Here is a 14,106-nt window from a genome sequence, read left to right as displayed (position 1 = left end):
CTGGAAATCACGCGGACGTGCCGCTTACTTTCCAGATGTCCGACTGCAGACTCACAAGCGGGGCGTCAGAGCCACCACACCAGTTCTCCGCTGTCTGTAAGATTTTCGAGAACTGGAAATTAACTTCACTCGTGGCCTCTAGGAGGCGTGCCTCGCTTACAAATGTGCTGGAATGAGGCTCCGGTATAGGTAGTCCTTAGGAGATCAAATGAATGCTTTGAAATGTTCACGTTTTTAGAAATGCAAAGTACATTGAAACAATATCAAGCTTCAAAGCATCTACCCAGCCTGGACTAAACTGTGGCTGGCACTGACTTTATATCAGGACCTGTTCTAAGTGGTTTACATATCAACTCATTTTATTATCATAACCACATAAGATAGGTTATTCCCCCCGACCCACCACCAATACCCGAGACAGAGTCTTGTTCTGTCGCCCAGGCTGGAGTGCAGTGGAGCGATCTTGGCTCACTGCAACCTCCGCCTCCGGGATTCAAGCGATTCTCCTGCCTCAGCCTCCCAAATAGCTGGGATTACAGGCGCCTGGCTAATTTTTGTATTTTTAGTAAAGATGGGGTTTCACCATGTTGGCAAGCTGGTCTCGAACTCCTGACCTCGTGATCCGCCCACCTCGGCCTCCCAAAGGTTATTATATTAAACGTATTTTCTAGATACGGAAACTGAAGAACAGAGAAGTTAAATGAAGTCAAAAGGACACAAAATGTCAGAGCCATGTTCAAACCCAGAGAAACTCTCCAGGCCCCACTGTGCTAACGATCTCACTACACCAATTCCAGTAATATGACAGCAGAGCTTCACCTCATTTCTTCCTCTCTGTATTAAATACATAATACAAATACGTAATACAAATACATCACGTGGTCCAAAGAAGACACCTGAAAGCATATAAACTGCCTGAAAAAACCTGCATCACAGACCATAAGAATATTTACATGAATATCTTATCTCTGGATAGCAAACAAATTTAAATATTATAAATTACAAAGAAAAAAGATATAAAGACTTGACCATAAAAAGTATAAAATTATGCATGTAAAAAATTCACAGAAGTATTTTGCACTCATCAAACTAGAGAAAGGTCTACCAAAAGTATAACATCGAAAAGGTTAATGCCATCAGGATACAAAGAAGTTAACTCATTAGGAAAAAAATCCTAAGACACAAACAGAAAAATAGGACAAGAAGAAGAAGAGGTAACTCATAGAAAAAATAACTACTGTTAAATATGAAAAATGTTTTTATCACTAGAGGCAAAGAAATTTTCTCCTGCAAAATTGTCAAGGATTTTATAATGAAACTACTCAGTGTTGCCACCTGTTTTGCTCCTCATTTAAACCCCTGAGGCTCTTCATGACTCCCATATGGTGTAGTTCTTTAAATAATTATAGCCCTCTACTACAGAAGTTCTTTATCTTTTGGAAGATCAAGATTAAGAACTTCTGTAGTAGAGGGATGTTAATTAGGTCTATGAACCACTGGACAATGTGATGAAAGCTCTCTTCAGAAAAATGCACCTACACACACATCTATACTATTTCAAGAGGTTCAAGATCACCATATGTGGCTAGTTAAGAATTCCAGCACTACTAGGTTTTAAGCTTTCTTTGGATGAGCCCTTTTGTTCATCTCTGTGATCCCCAAAGTACTTCCTACAATATCTGCCCAATTAAAAGACGAAGTAGCCAGTGTCATTTCATGACCAGCTCAGAGAAAACTGGAAATATATGTTCATGCTTAACATACCAATATCTTACTATGTCACATAATAGCTGCCTTTTCATCATATTAAAAACTGATTTTAAGCCCCGGGGAACAAAATACCCTGTGTTGGTCAGCTATTCCAGCATTTTTATTGTTTCCTAATGCCACAGTTTTGGTCACTACCTCACTGTGAAGGGTGTTTTTCTGAATCCAGAGGCAATTGCAATATAAATCCGCATATCACGGTAGCAATAATGCACAATAATGTTATACATTTCAGCAGCCATGTTCAGTAAATCACTGTGAGCTCTTTCATGTATTCACTTCATCTACAAAAAATTGATTGACACAATGCTCAGCCCTGGCAACCAAGATTCTTGTAAATACAGACATTGACCTCACAATCATGGGAAGGAAAACATACATAAACATGTAAGTTTTACTTCCACTGAACCATAGCATCTCAAAAACAGGGATGACTGTTTCATTCATTTCTGTGACCCCAGTGCCTGGCACTCCATGGGCCCTCAATAAATACTTATGAAACTGAATTGTTTTTGTTTTTTCTTTGGTTTTGTTTTGTTTTTTGAGACGAAGTCTCGCTCTGTTGCCCAGGCTGGAGTGCAGTAGCATGATCTCGGCTCATTGCAACCTCCAACTCCTGGGTTCAGGCAATTCTCCTACCTCAGCCTCCCGAGTAGCTGGGATTACAGGCGCCTGCCACCATGCCCAGCTATTTTTTTGCTTTTTTAGTAGAGACGGGGTTTCACCACGTTGGCCAGGCTGGTCTCAGACTCCTGACCTCAGGTGATCCACCTGCCTCGGCCTCCCTAAGTGCTGGGATTATAGGCGTGAGCCACTGCGCCCAGCCCATACTGAATTGTTGAATACTGTGAGAGACATATGAAAAAAAATGCTGGGTTCAGCTTCCCATTAAACAGATGGTTTGAATCAAATGTGACTCCAACCTATAAAACTTCAAGTCCTCATCTGAAAACATTATACACATTCCTTCCAGAATGAGTTGGCTTCCTAGTTTAGCCTGTAATAAAGCACAGAGTACCTTCTCTGGCAGAATTTCCATGAATCATCACTGCTCAATTCAGTGCCTGCCTTGGGCATTACCCAGCTACAGACAGACTGCCCCACGTGGCATTCACCCTGAGATAACTCCTCCACAGCTCCAGAACTTCTATCCCAAAAAGTGTCACACTTACAGCTGAGAATTTAGTTGCCATGCTTGGTAAATCTAAGTGAGTGTTCATTCCTCTTCTGAGCGGGGTGTGTCGCCCTGAAAACCAAAGGCGTGGTAAGCTTCTTTACTGAGTAAGCATGCTGTAAATTCTAGGTCCTACCAGCTGTGTTTGCCATGAAAAGCAGAGAACATGAGGTATTTCCAGCAAGATAGCTGACCCATAAAAGCTAATGCAGAGTTAGCCAACCTCTGGCCCTCCACCCTCCCCATTTCACTGCCTACCTCTCGGAGTTGGCTGGGAAACAACCTAAAGAAAGCACTTCATTCTCTCTCCATTTGCTTTAGATTGCTTTATTAGTCAAAATCAAGGAGCAGGAGAACTGACAGAAAGCACATTCTTAATGGTAGCACGGTGAAGAAACACTACCCTTCCATATATCAGCATTATTTGGTGTGTTCCAGAAATAGTAATTAAACACTTACTAAGTGCCAGGCAACATTTTCTATGCTGGGGATATGAGAATGATGAGAGAGCCAAAAAATCCTGCTCTTATAAATCTTCTAATGGGGAAGAGAGACAATAAACAAGTTAAAGACATAAATAATTATGTTAGATAACAACTACTAAACAGAAAGAAATTAATCAGAAAAGAAGAATGTAAAGTTTTTCAAGGAGATAATGAAATTTTAGAAAAGATAGCCAGGAAAGGCTGGCTAAGAATGTGGCCATGAAACAGAGACCAGAAGAAAACTTGGGATTTAGTCATGTCTATCTTTAGGAGAATAGCATTTCAGGCAGATGGAAGGCTAATCTTAATTCATTAGTATTTAAGACATTACAATATTGGTACAAGAATAAAGTCATCAATCAATGGAACAGAATAGAAAACCCAAACATGGTCCCACACCTATGAGGAAACTTAGTATATGACAGATCCACCGTACAAATCAATGGAAGAAAAAAATAGACAATTCTAAATGGTGCTGGGACAATTGGCTGTCTATAGGGAGGAAAAATGTATTCCCTACCTCCTACTATATAAAAAATCAATTCCAGATGATTTAAGAACTTGTATATGAAAGGCAAAATTTTAAGAATTTAAAACAAATATATAGACGGTCTTTATGGTCTTGATGGTCCAAAGAATTTATTTAACAAGACATTAAGAAAAAGCATAAGCAGTTCTGGAGATGGATAATGGTGATAGTTGCACAATAATGTGAACGTAGTTAATGCCACTGAACTGTACACTTACAAATGGTTAAAATGGTAAATTTTGTGTTATGTATATTTTAAACTTTTTTTAAAAAAACAAGCTAAAAAGAGAAAGATTGATCATTTTAACTACATTAAATTAAGAACTTAAGGGATTTTGCATGGGGAGGGAGTTTCTGTTCATTTGTTTTTTCAAGACAGGGTTTCCTGTTGCCCAGGCTGGAGTGCAGTGATGCTATCACTGCCCACTGCAGCCTCCACCTCCTGGACTCAAGCGATCCTCCCAGCTGAGCCTCCCAAATAGCTAGGACTGCAGGCACATGCCACCAAGACTGGCTGATTTTTAAATTTTTTTGTAGAGATGGGGCTGCACTATGTTGCTCAGGCTGGTCTTGAACTTCTGGACTCAAGCAATCCTCCTGCCTCGGCCTCCCAAAGTGCTAAGATTACAGGCATAAGCCACCACACTTGACCTTTTTAAAAGTACATAAAACTTTTTAAAGTACATAAATACACAGTTTTTTAGATATCCACAAATTGCGAGATGATAAAATTAACACAGGGTCATTGTTAGTATCAAGATAATAAGAAAAAAATAAAAAACAGTAGAAAAGCCCTCTCCCCCCTCTCCCCTCTCCCCTCTCCCCTCTCCCCTCTCCCGTCTCCCCTCTCCCCTCTCCCCTTTCTACGGTCTCCCTTTCTTGCGGAGCCTGGACTGTACCGCCATGATCTCGGCTCGCTGCAACCTCCCTGCCTCGGGCTCCGGTGATTCTCCCGCCTCGGCCTGCCAGGCACGCGCCGCCACTCCTGACTGGTTTTTGTATTTTTGGTGGAGACGGGGTTTCGCCGTGTTGACCGGGCTGGTCTCCAGCTCCTGGCCTCGGATGATCTGCCCGCCTCCGCCTCCCGAGGTGCTGGGATTGCAGACGGAGTCTCGCTCACTCAATGCTCAATGTTGCCCAGGCTGGAGTGCAGTGGCTTGATCTCGGCTCGCTACAACTTCCACCTCCCAGCGGCCTGCCTTGGCCTCCCAAAATGCTAAGATTACAGCCTCTGCCCGCCGGTCACCCCGTCTAGGAAGTGAGCAGCGTCTCTGCCTGGCCACCCATCGTCTGGGATGTAAGGAGCCCCTCTGCCCCGCCGCCCCCTCTAGGAAGTGAGGAACGTCTCTGCCTGGCCGCCCATTGTCTGGGACGTGAGAAGCGCCTCTGCCCGGCCGCCCAGTCTGGGAGGAAGTGAGGAGCACCTCTGCCCGGCTGCCCCGAATGGGAAGTGAAGAGCACCTCTGCCTGGCCGCCCCCTCTGGGAAGTGAGGAGTGCCTCTGCCCCGCCGCCCCGTCTGGGAGGAAGTGAGGAGCGCCTCTGCCTGGTTGCCCTGAATGGAAAGTGAGGAGCGCCTCTGCCCGGCCGCCCCGTCTGGGAAGTGAGGAGCGCCTCTGCCCGGATGCCCCGTCCGGGAGGTGAGGAGCGCCTCTGCCCGGCCGCCCCGTCTGGGAGGTGAGGGGCGCCTCTGCCCGGCCGCCCCGTCCGGGAGGTGAGGGGCGCCTCTGCACGGCCGCCCCGTCTGGGAGGTGAGGGGCATCTCTGCCCGGCCACCACCCCGTCTGGGAAGTGAGGGGCACCTCTGCCCGGCCGCCACCCTGTCTGGGAGGTGACGGGTGTCTCTGCCCGGCCGCCTAGACTAGGAAGTGAGGGGCGTCTCTGCCCGGCCGCCCTTCGTCTGGGAGGTGGGGAGCGCCTCTGCCCGGCCCCTCCCCGTTTGGGAGGCGAGGGGTGTCTCTGCCCGGCCGCCACCCCGTCTGGGAAGTGAGGAGCGCCTCTGCCCAGCTGCTGCCCTGTCTGGGAGGTGAGGGGAGTCTCTGCCCGGCTGCCCTGCCTGGAAAGTGAGGGGCGCCTCTGCCTGGCCGCTCTTTGTCTGGGAGGTGGGGAGCGCCTCTGCCTGGCCACCCCGTCTGGGAAGTGGGCGCCTCTGCCCGGCCACCCCATCTGGGAGGTGAGGGGTGTCTCTGCCTGGCCGCCCCGTCTGGGAGGTGAGGAGCGCCTCTGCCCGGCCGCCACCCCGTCTGGGATGTGAGGAACGCCTCTGCCCGGCCGCCCCATCTGGGAAGTGTACCCAACAGCTCCAAAGAGACAGCAATCATCCAGAACGGGCCATGATGACGATGGTGGTTTTGTCGAAAAGAAAAGGGAGAAATGCGGGGAAAAGAAAGAGAGATCAGATTGTTACCGTGTCTGTGTAGAAAGAAGTAGACATAGGAGACTCCATTTTGTTCTGTACTAAGAAAAATTCTTCTGCCTTGGGATGCTGTTAATCTATAACCTTACCCTCAACCCCCTGCTCTCTGAAACATGTGCTGTGTCAACTCAGGGTTAAATGGATTAAGGGCGGTGCAAGATGTGCTTTGTTAAACAGATGCTTGAAGGCAGCATGCTTGTTAAGAGTCATCACCACATTGTGGTTTTGATTTGCATTTCTCTGATGACCAGTGATGATGAGCATTTTTTCATGTGTTTTTTGGCTGCATAAATGTCTTCTTTTGAGAAGTGTCTGTTCATGTCCTTTGCCCACTTTTTGATGGGGTTGTTTGTTTTTTTCTTGTAAATTTGTTTGAGTTCATTGTAGATTCTGGATATTAGCCCTTTGTCAGATGAGTAGGTTGCGAAAATTTTCTCCCATTTTGTAGGTTGCCTGTTCACTCTGATGGTAGTTTCTTTTGCTATGCAGAAGCTCTTTAGTTTAATTAGATCCCATTTGTCAATTTTGTCTTTTGTTGCCATTGCTTTTGGTGTTTTGGACGTGAAGTCCATAATGAGATACCATCTCACACCAGTTAGAATGGCAATCATTAAAAAGTCAGGAAACAACAGGTGCTAGAGAGGATGTGGAGAAATAGGAACACTTTTACACTGTTAGTGGGACTGTAAACTAGTTCAACCATTGTGGAAGTCAGTGTGGCGATTCCTCAGGGATCTAGAACTAGAAATACCATTTGACCCAGCCATCCCATTACTGGGTATATACCCAAAGGACTATAAATCATGCTGCTGTAAAGACACATGCACACGTATGTTTATTGCAGCATTATTCACAATAGCAAAGACTTGGAACCAACCCAAATGTCCAACAATGATAGACTGGATTAAGAAAATGTGTGATAGACTGGATTAAGAAAATGTGGCACATATACACCATGGAATACTATGCAGCCATAAAAAATGATGAGTTCATGTCCTTTGTAGGGATATGGATGAAATTGGAAATCATCATTCTCAGTAAACTATTGCAAGAACAAAAAACCAAACACCGCATATTCTCACTCATAGGTGGGAATTGAACAATGAGATCACATGGACACAGGAAGGGGAATATCACACTCTGGGGACTGTGGTGGGGTGGGGGGAGGGGGGAGGGATAGCATTGGGAGATATACCTAATGCTAGATGACGAGTTAGTGGGTGCAGTGCACCAGCATGGCACATGTATACATATGTAACTAACCTGCACAATGTGTACATGTACCCTAAAACTTAAAGTATAATAAAAAAAAAAAAAGAGTCATCACCACTCCCTAATCTCAAGTACCCAGGGACACAAACAGGGCCGAAGGCCGCAGGGACCTCTGCCTAGGAAAACCAGAGACCTTTGTTCTCGTGTTTATCTGCTGACCTTCTCTCCACTATTATCCTATGACCCTGCCACATCCCCCTCTCTGAGAAACACCCAAGAATGATCAATAAATACTAAAAAAAAAAATAAACAAACAAAAAAACTGCACATTCTGCACATGTATCTCAGAACTTAAAGTAAAATTAAAAAAAAGAAAAATAAAATAAAATAAACAGTAGAAAAGAGAAAGGGAACCTGAACAAGTATTTCACAATGAAGGAAATGTAAATGATAAATAAACATATGTAAATATGTTTAATTACATTAGTAATTGAAGAAATGCAAATTAAAACCACAATGAGATAATATTCTACAGGTGCCAGATGGACAAAAGTTTCAAAGTTTGAAAATATTGCGTGTTGACTAGGAACTCGTGTACTATAAGTAAAACTGTTAATTGATACAACTACTTTGAAAAATGTGGCATTACCTGGTAAATTTGAAAACATATGACTCTTTATCCCACTATGTGATTCTAGTCTAGGTATATTCTCTAGAGAAAGTTTTGAGCGTAGACATCAAAAAACATGAACAAGAACATTCGTGGCAATATCAAAATACTCAAACACTGGAAACCATCCATCATCAGAAATGGATAAACTGGGCCAGGCACAGTGGCTCACACCTGTAATCCCAACACTATGGGAGGCTGAGGAGGGTGGAACACTGGAGCCCAGGAGTTTGAGACCAGCCTGAGCAACACGGTGAAACCCTGCCTCTACAAAAAATACAAAAATTAGCCAGATATGGTGGCACGAGCCTGTAGTCCCAGCTACTCTGGGGGCTGAGGTGGGAGGATCACCTGAGGCTGGGAGGCTGCCATGAGCCATGATCCTGCCACTGCACTCCTGCTGGGAGACACAGCAAGACCTTGTCTCAAAAAAAAAAAGAGAGAAAAAAAGAAAAAGAAATAGATAAATAAATTCTGGTGTATTCATACAATGGAATTTTTTAAGTGAAAAATGAATGAACTACTACAATTACAGTAAGCATATCGACATGGATGAATCACATAAATATAATGTTAACTAAAAAAGCAAGTCATAGGACAATACTGTATATGCTGGATATTTTCCTTTTCCCACCCCATCACCTAAAACCACTCTAGCCCCCTCCCCTGCTCTGTGTTCTTAAATGAATGGACCATATAAACAGATTTCTGTGCTTTCTGCTTCCAGTTAGGTTAGGTCAATTAAAAGCCCCAAAAGGAAATAGGAAGAAGAGAAGAAAGTGAGATCAATGTATTTATCCCCTCCCTGCAAGGCCACCTGTGTCCCTCAACCTGTCATTGCTTCTCTCAAGGTGGCAACAGACTCTAAAGGACCCTCTCACTTTGGGTCTGGTAACAGCTCCTTTTCCTCTACCTTTCAGACCTAGAGACAGTAACATATTGACTTCGAGTAAGCCCTGATTAATTGCCCTATCTATCCATTGTGGTTCCCTACTCCCACACCTTTGTAAATAATCTCTGCAAAAAAAACCATCCTTGGCCAGGCGCAGTGGCTCACGCCTGTAATCCCAGCACTTTGGGAGGCCGAGGTGGGCGGATCATGAGGTCAGATCGAGACCACGGTGAAACCCCATCTCTACTAAAAATACAAAAAATTAGCCAGGTGTGGTGGCGGGTGCCTATAGTCCCAGCTACTCAGGAGGCTGAGGCAGGAGAATGGCGTGAACCCAGGAAGCAGAGCTTGCAGTGAGCCGAGATTGTGCCACTGCACTCCAGCCTGGGCAACAGAGCAAGACTCCGTCTCCAAAAAAAAAAACCATCCTTGAATTAGCATTTATTTTTTTATTTTTTTTTTATTTTTTGAGACAGAATCTTGTTCTGTCACCCAGACTGGAAAGATTGGAATGCAGTAACACAATCTTGATCTCGGCTCACTGCAACCTGTGCCTCCTGAGTTCAAGTGATTCTCCTGCCTCAGCTTCCCGAGTAGCTGGGACTACAGGCACATGCCACCACGCCAAGCTAATTTTTGTATTTTTAGTAGAGAGAGGGTTTCACCATGTTGGCTAGGCTGGTCTCGAACTCCTGACCTCGTGATCCACCTGCCTTGGTCTCCCAAAGTGCTGGGATTACAGGCATGAGCCACTACGCCTGGCCAAATTAGCCTATTTTGAGTATGCCATCTGTTCCTTGTTGAACCATGACTGGTACTATTCAGCATTTTTATAAAAGTTTTTTTGAAAGTGGAATAATACATACTGGAGTACATACTGTCAGTGGGAAATGATCAAATTCAAGATAGTGGTTAACTCTGGGGAGAAGAAAGAAGATGCACAGGTGGGGACCTTTGGCCCTCTCTTTTCTCTCCCTATTAGACCCAAGACAGATCTAATATTGTAATAGAGGCTGAGGTTTCAGGACGCGGACTGCTGATGGCTCAGTGGGGAAGTTTCCTCCACAGCAAATATACTTGTTAGGTCCCCTGACACTCCTGTGCATAGATCTGGGAAGGGAGCGAACCCTGACAATACAGTTCCTCTTCCTTATCTGTCTCCCTTGTCTCTGAATCTCTCTGGTGCCAGGATGCAAAGGTCCTTTTTACTGAGTCAGCACCCTCACCTAAGTTCTTACCATAACTTGACAGTGAATTTCGTCTCTTGCTATAATGACATGGTCGGGAGTCACCTGAACCTCCCAGACAGAATTCATCCTACCTGGAGCTTCACAACATCCTAGATGCATCTGAGAGATGGTAGTGGGAAGCATTTGGATGCACTAGTCTGGCCCTCTCACTTGGGTACCATAGTTTGGAGCTGAGTCTGGCCCTGGGATGGAAGGAAGAGACACACAGGATAGGAACCATATGGGGTTTAATCCAATATCTTTGCTTCAAGTTTATCCATATGGTAAGTGAGGTTAGTGGGGGTACGAAGTGAAATGAATCTCACCCTGAACATAGTATTCAGCAAAACTGTTCACTCTTGGGTGCTATCTATGGATATAGAGGACTAAAAAAGAGTGCAAGAAAAAAATCTGACCTTGGTTTAGCCATGGGGAAATAATTTTCAATACTGGTATTTATGAGCATCATTTATCATTTATGGATAATGACTCTATGACACACAGCTTTAGGCATTTCATTGCTGTGTGTCAGATTAACTTTTTGGCAGAACTTATTTTATTACAGTACTAGTTATTCATGCCAGCTTAGAGCATCTGAAGATTATAAGAAATACCTATTTTTAGTAAGAACATAACACAATTCGGTGCCTAACAATTTAGTAGAATATCCCTGATTGTTCTTTCCCTATTTAAATTTAAGCTGGACTAAAATCTACTTGAAGATCCATCTACCCAGAATCATCTTATTTGTGTTTAAAAGAAAGAATTGATTTGAACAAAGGAGCCTAATAAAAGAATCTAAGTAACAAAGAAACTACTTTCAATTACAATTTCACTTTATGCTCTATAATTGATGGCACTTTTCAATGTTCTGTTCTAAAATGACGTAGTTATTTCACATGAATCCATCTCGATCCTGGCAACATCAGTTGCTCTCTGTTTGAGCTGAAACGATTCTGAATATTTCAGTTTTTAACATGAGACTGATTATTTGATCATGAGCTCCTTGAGACCAAGCAGACTATCTTGCCCATTTCTGCACCCCTGCCTCTACCATAGTCCCTGACATAGACCAGACACTCCAAAGCTGTCGGCTGAACTGAACTGAACTTCTCTGTACTTATCCCTAATTCCAGATAGGCTCGCATACACTTTATGATGTAATCCTTCACAGAAGATGTGTTTTCACTCTAGATTTTGGCTTTCCCATTGAAATTCCTGATCACAATATTTTCTCTCAGTTGGCTGATTTTTGGAAACTGAAGTAGGTTGTAAATATGATCCTGTTATAATGCCAAGATTGAATTCCAACTGGATTAGCTGATAATCACATCCAAAAGTTCACATTCTCAGTAAGAAAACAATATTAACATTTCAGAAAGTGGAAATTAGAGAATAATAATAAATCTTCCTTTCTCTGACTAATCAATACTTGAAGATCAATGTTGAGAGCTATCTTGAGTACAGAGAGGAAAGGGACTTTCCTGATGCATGTGGAATTACTTCATCTGCATTTTCTTCTCTTTGAGCAACAACATATAATCTATCACTTAGGGGCCAAGTAGTAAAAACTTTATGTTTCTATAGGGAACATGATTTTTTCCTACGAGGTTAATTATTTTAGGGTCAGTGCCCTAGGAGTAGTCGAGTATGTACTTGGGACTCCACCCTAGACTTCTCATCTACTTCTACTTCTCACCTAGGCATCTCACCTACTGCTTTCTTTCCAGGGGTCTCTGCCCCACAATGCCCCAGGGAACAGCCCCAGATCAAATGCTTCAGTTTCTTTCAGAGGGAAGGGGTCCTTTCCCCTCCCCACTCAACACCTCCTCCTCCTCACCTAACCCACACACAGAACCAGGCCACACAAGCAACTCTTAGAACCAAGGTCAGTCTTCCCCAGAGTACAGTTATGAAGCAATTATGTTGTTTTGTGCTTTCTCCAGTGGAATGGCAGGAGCAGCTGTTTTTCTACAAACTCTGATTAATGACCTTCACTGTGGGAATTTTCTGTCTGCATGTAGAGTTAATCCAATCTTTTTTATTGTCTAGTAAGTCCAGATCTTTCCAATTATATTTGTTTCATAATAATACAGTATTGGCACTTGTAAAGCATGCTACAGTTTTCAAAGCAATTTCATTTGTATGATTTAACCCAGGATTTCTGCAACCAATTGATTCTCTGGGGTCCCTTCATTTTATTATAATTTCCTTTTTATTTTTTCCATTTTTTTCCATCCATTTTTATAAGTTTCATAAAAAGCATATCCTGGGTTGTCTGGATGACTGTGTTATTTTCAAATTGTACCATATGCCAGCCTCTCATGTGACCCCAATGGGATTGGTGACACATATGAGCATCTGAAATGACACAGCTTGCCTTAAAATGTACTGGTAAGCATAGATAGCTAGCTGATCAAAGATTGTGGGTTATAAAGTAAAAATATCAACCATCATCCTGCATCATTATTGCTTTCAATTTGGATGTTTTTCCCCCAACAATTATAAAGACAGAAGTGGGCGGGGTGCAAAGGCTCAGGCTTGTAATCCCAGCACTTTGGGAGGCCTAGGCAGGCAGACCACTTGAGGTCACGAGTTCGAGACCAGCCTGGCCACCATGGTGAAACCCCATCTTTACTAAAAATACAAAAACAGAAACAAACAAACAAAACTAGCTGGGCATGGTGGCGGGTGCCTGTAATCACAGCTACTTGGGAGGCTGAGGCAGGAGAATCATTTGAACCAGGGAGGCAGAGTTTGCAGTGAGCCGAGATGGTGCCACTGCACTCCAGCCTGGGCAACAGAGGGAGAATTCATCTCAAAAAAAGTAATTAATTAATTAATTAATTGAAAAAGACATAAGTGAGGCTGCCCTGGTTATCCAGCCAGTGCTTTACTGGTATCACAAGTGGAAGTATTGTTCTGATTCTGTCTCTGTATGTGCCAAATTACAACAGTATGCAAGTAGTATCTATTAAAATAAATATACAATGAAGGATTTTCCAGTCAGATTTTCTCTCTTGCATTTTGGAGTGAACAATTAAATTGGCCCACCAATAAATTGTAGTGGATAAAAACAAAATCATTTTTAAAATATAAATAAATATGATGACAGTGATTCACATGATAATCTATTGCACTAAAAAAAAAATCATGTAAAAAAGTAAGTGACTAAATCTTCCTATCATTAACCTCAACATATGCTCTTCAATTTCAGCAAAGCATCATCTAGCAAATTAATGTTGTCAATTTTAATTATATTAGTTTTTATCATTTGGCTTGTATTTAATATGTAAATGTATTTGGCTTTTATGTGGATATCTTAGCTATAAATATATACAAACTTAGCTTTTACGTGGACATATTAGCTATAAACATAGAAAGACATAGCAATAACAATGACATAAAAATCATATACATCAACTCTGGGTATTCTAATAATCTAAATATTTTCTTCCTTTTAAGGGCTTTTTTACATTACATTACTCAAGTTTGAGAATTACAAGTCTATTCCTAAAATAGGTTAATAGGAAATCTTTTGATTTATAACACAACTCATAGAATAAATGCACCTGCAGTAACTTAAAATGGTTTTTGACAATTTTAGAAATCTTAGAAAACGATCTTCTTTAAAAAATCAGTTATTACTTTCTGCTTCAACAGTCATTTTATTTGAATAATGGACTCTTATGACTGAGTTCTTTCCAGAATGCACTGGCTTAGGGAGAGAAGTA

The 14,106-nt window shown here is 42.7% G+C and overlaps 1 protein-coding gene across 2 annotated transcripts in view, besides 1 other annotated feature; it reads right to left on the bottom strand.

Annotated features, from left to right (window-relative positions):
• The window catches only part of PRIM2 (DNA primase subunit 2), a 425,311-nt gene that overhangs the window by 330,025 nt on the left and 81,180 nt on the right, over nt 1-14,106 (bottom strand). Inside the window, exon 1 of one of the 2 annotated variants that reach the window (NM_001282488.2) lies at nt 1,906-2,021. The exons of the other annotated variant lie outside the window; for it this stretch is intronic. The gene's annotated coding sequence lies outside the window, so the exon portion shown is untranslated. Of the gene's footprint in view, nt 1-1,905; nt 2,022-14,106 lie in introns of those variants that run through there. 2 annotated transcript variants of the gene reach the window in all.
• Nucleotides 62-111: a silencer, noted in NCBI's record as "silent region_17305". NCBI's record gives its function as "represses an Ori minimal core promoter by ATAC-STARR-seq in GM12878 lymphoblastoid cells {active_cell/tissue: GM12878}" and the evidence as "EXISTENCE:reporter gene assay evidence [ECO:0000049][PMID:35858748]".

The sequence above is a fragment of the Homo sapiens genome, chromosome 6 (assembly GCF_000001405.40).
Source record: "Homo sapiens chromosome 6, GRCh38.p14 Primary Assembly".
Lineage (NCBI taxonomy): Eukaryota > Metazoa > Chordata > Mammalia > Primates > Hominidae > Homo > Homo sapiens.
The sequence above is the reverse complement of the archived record's forward strand: the minus strand, read 5'-3'. Positions and strand labels throughout refer to the sequence as shown.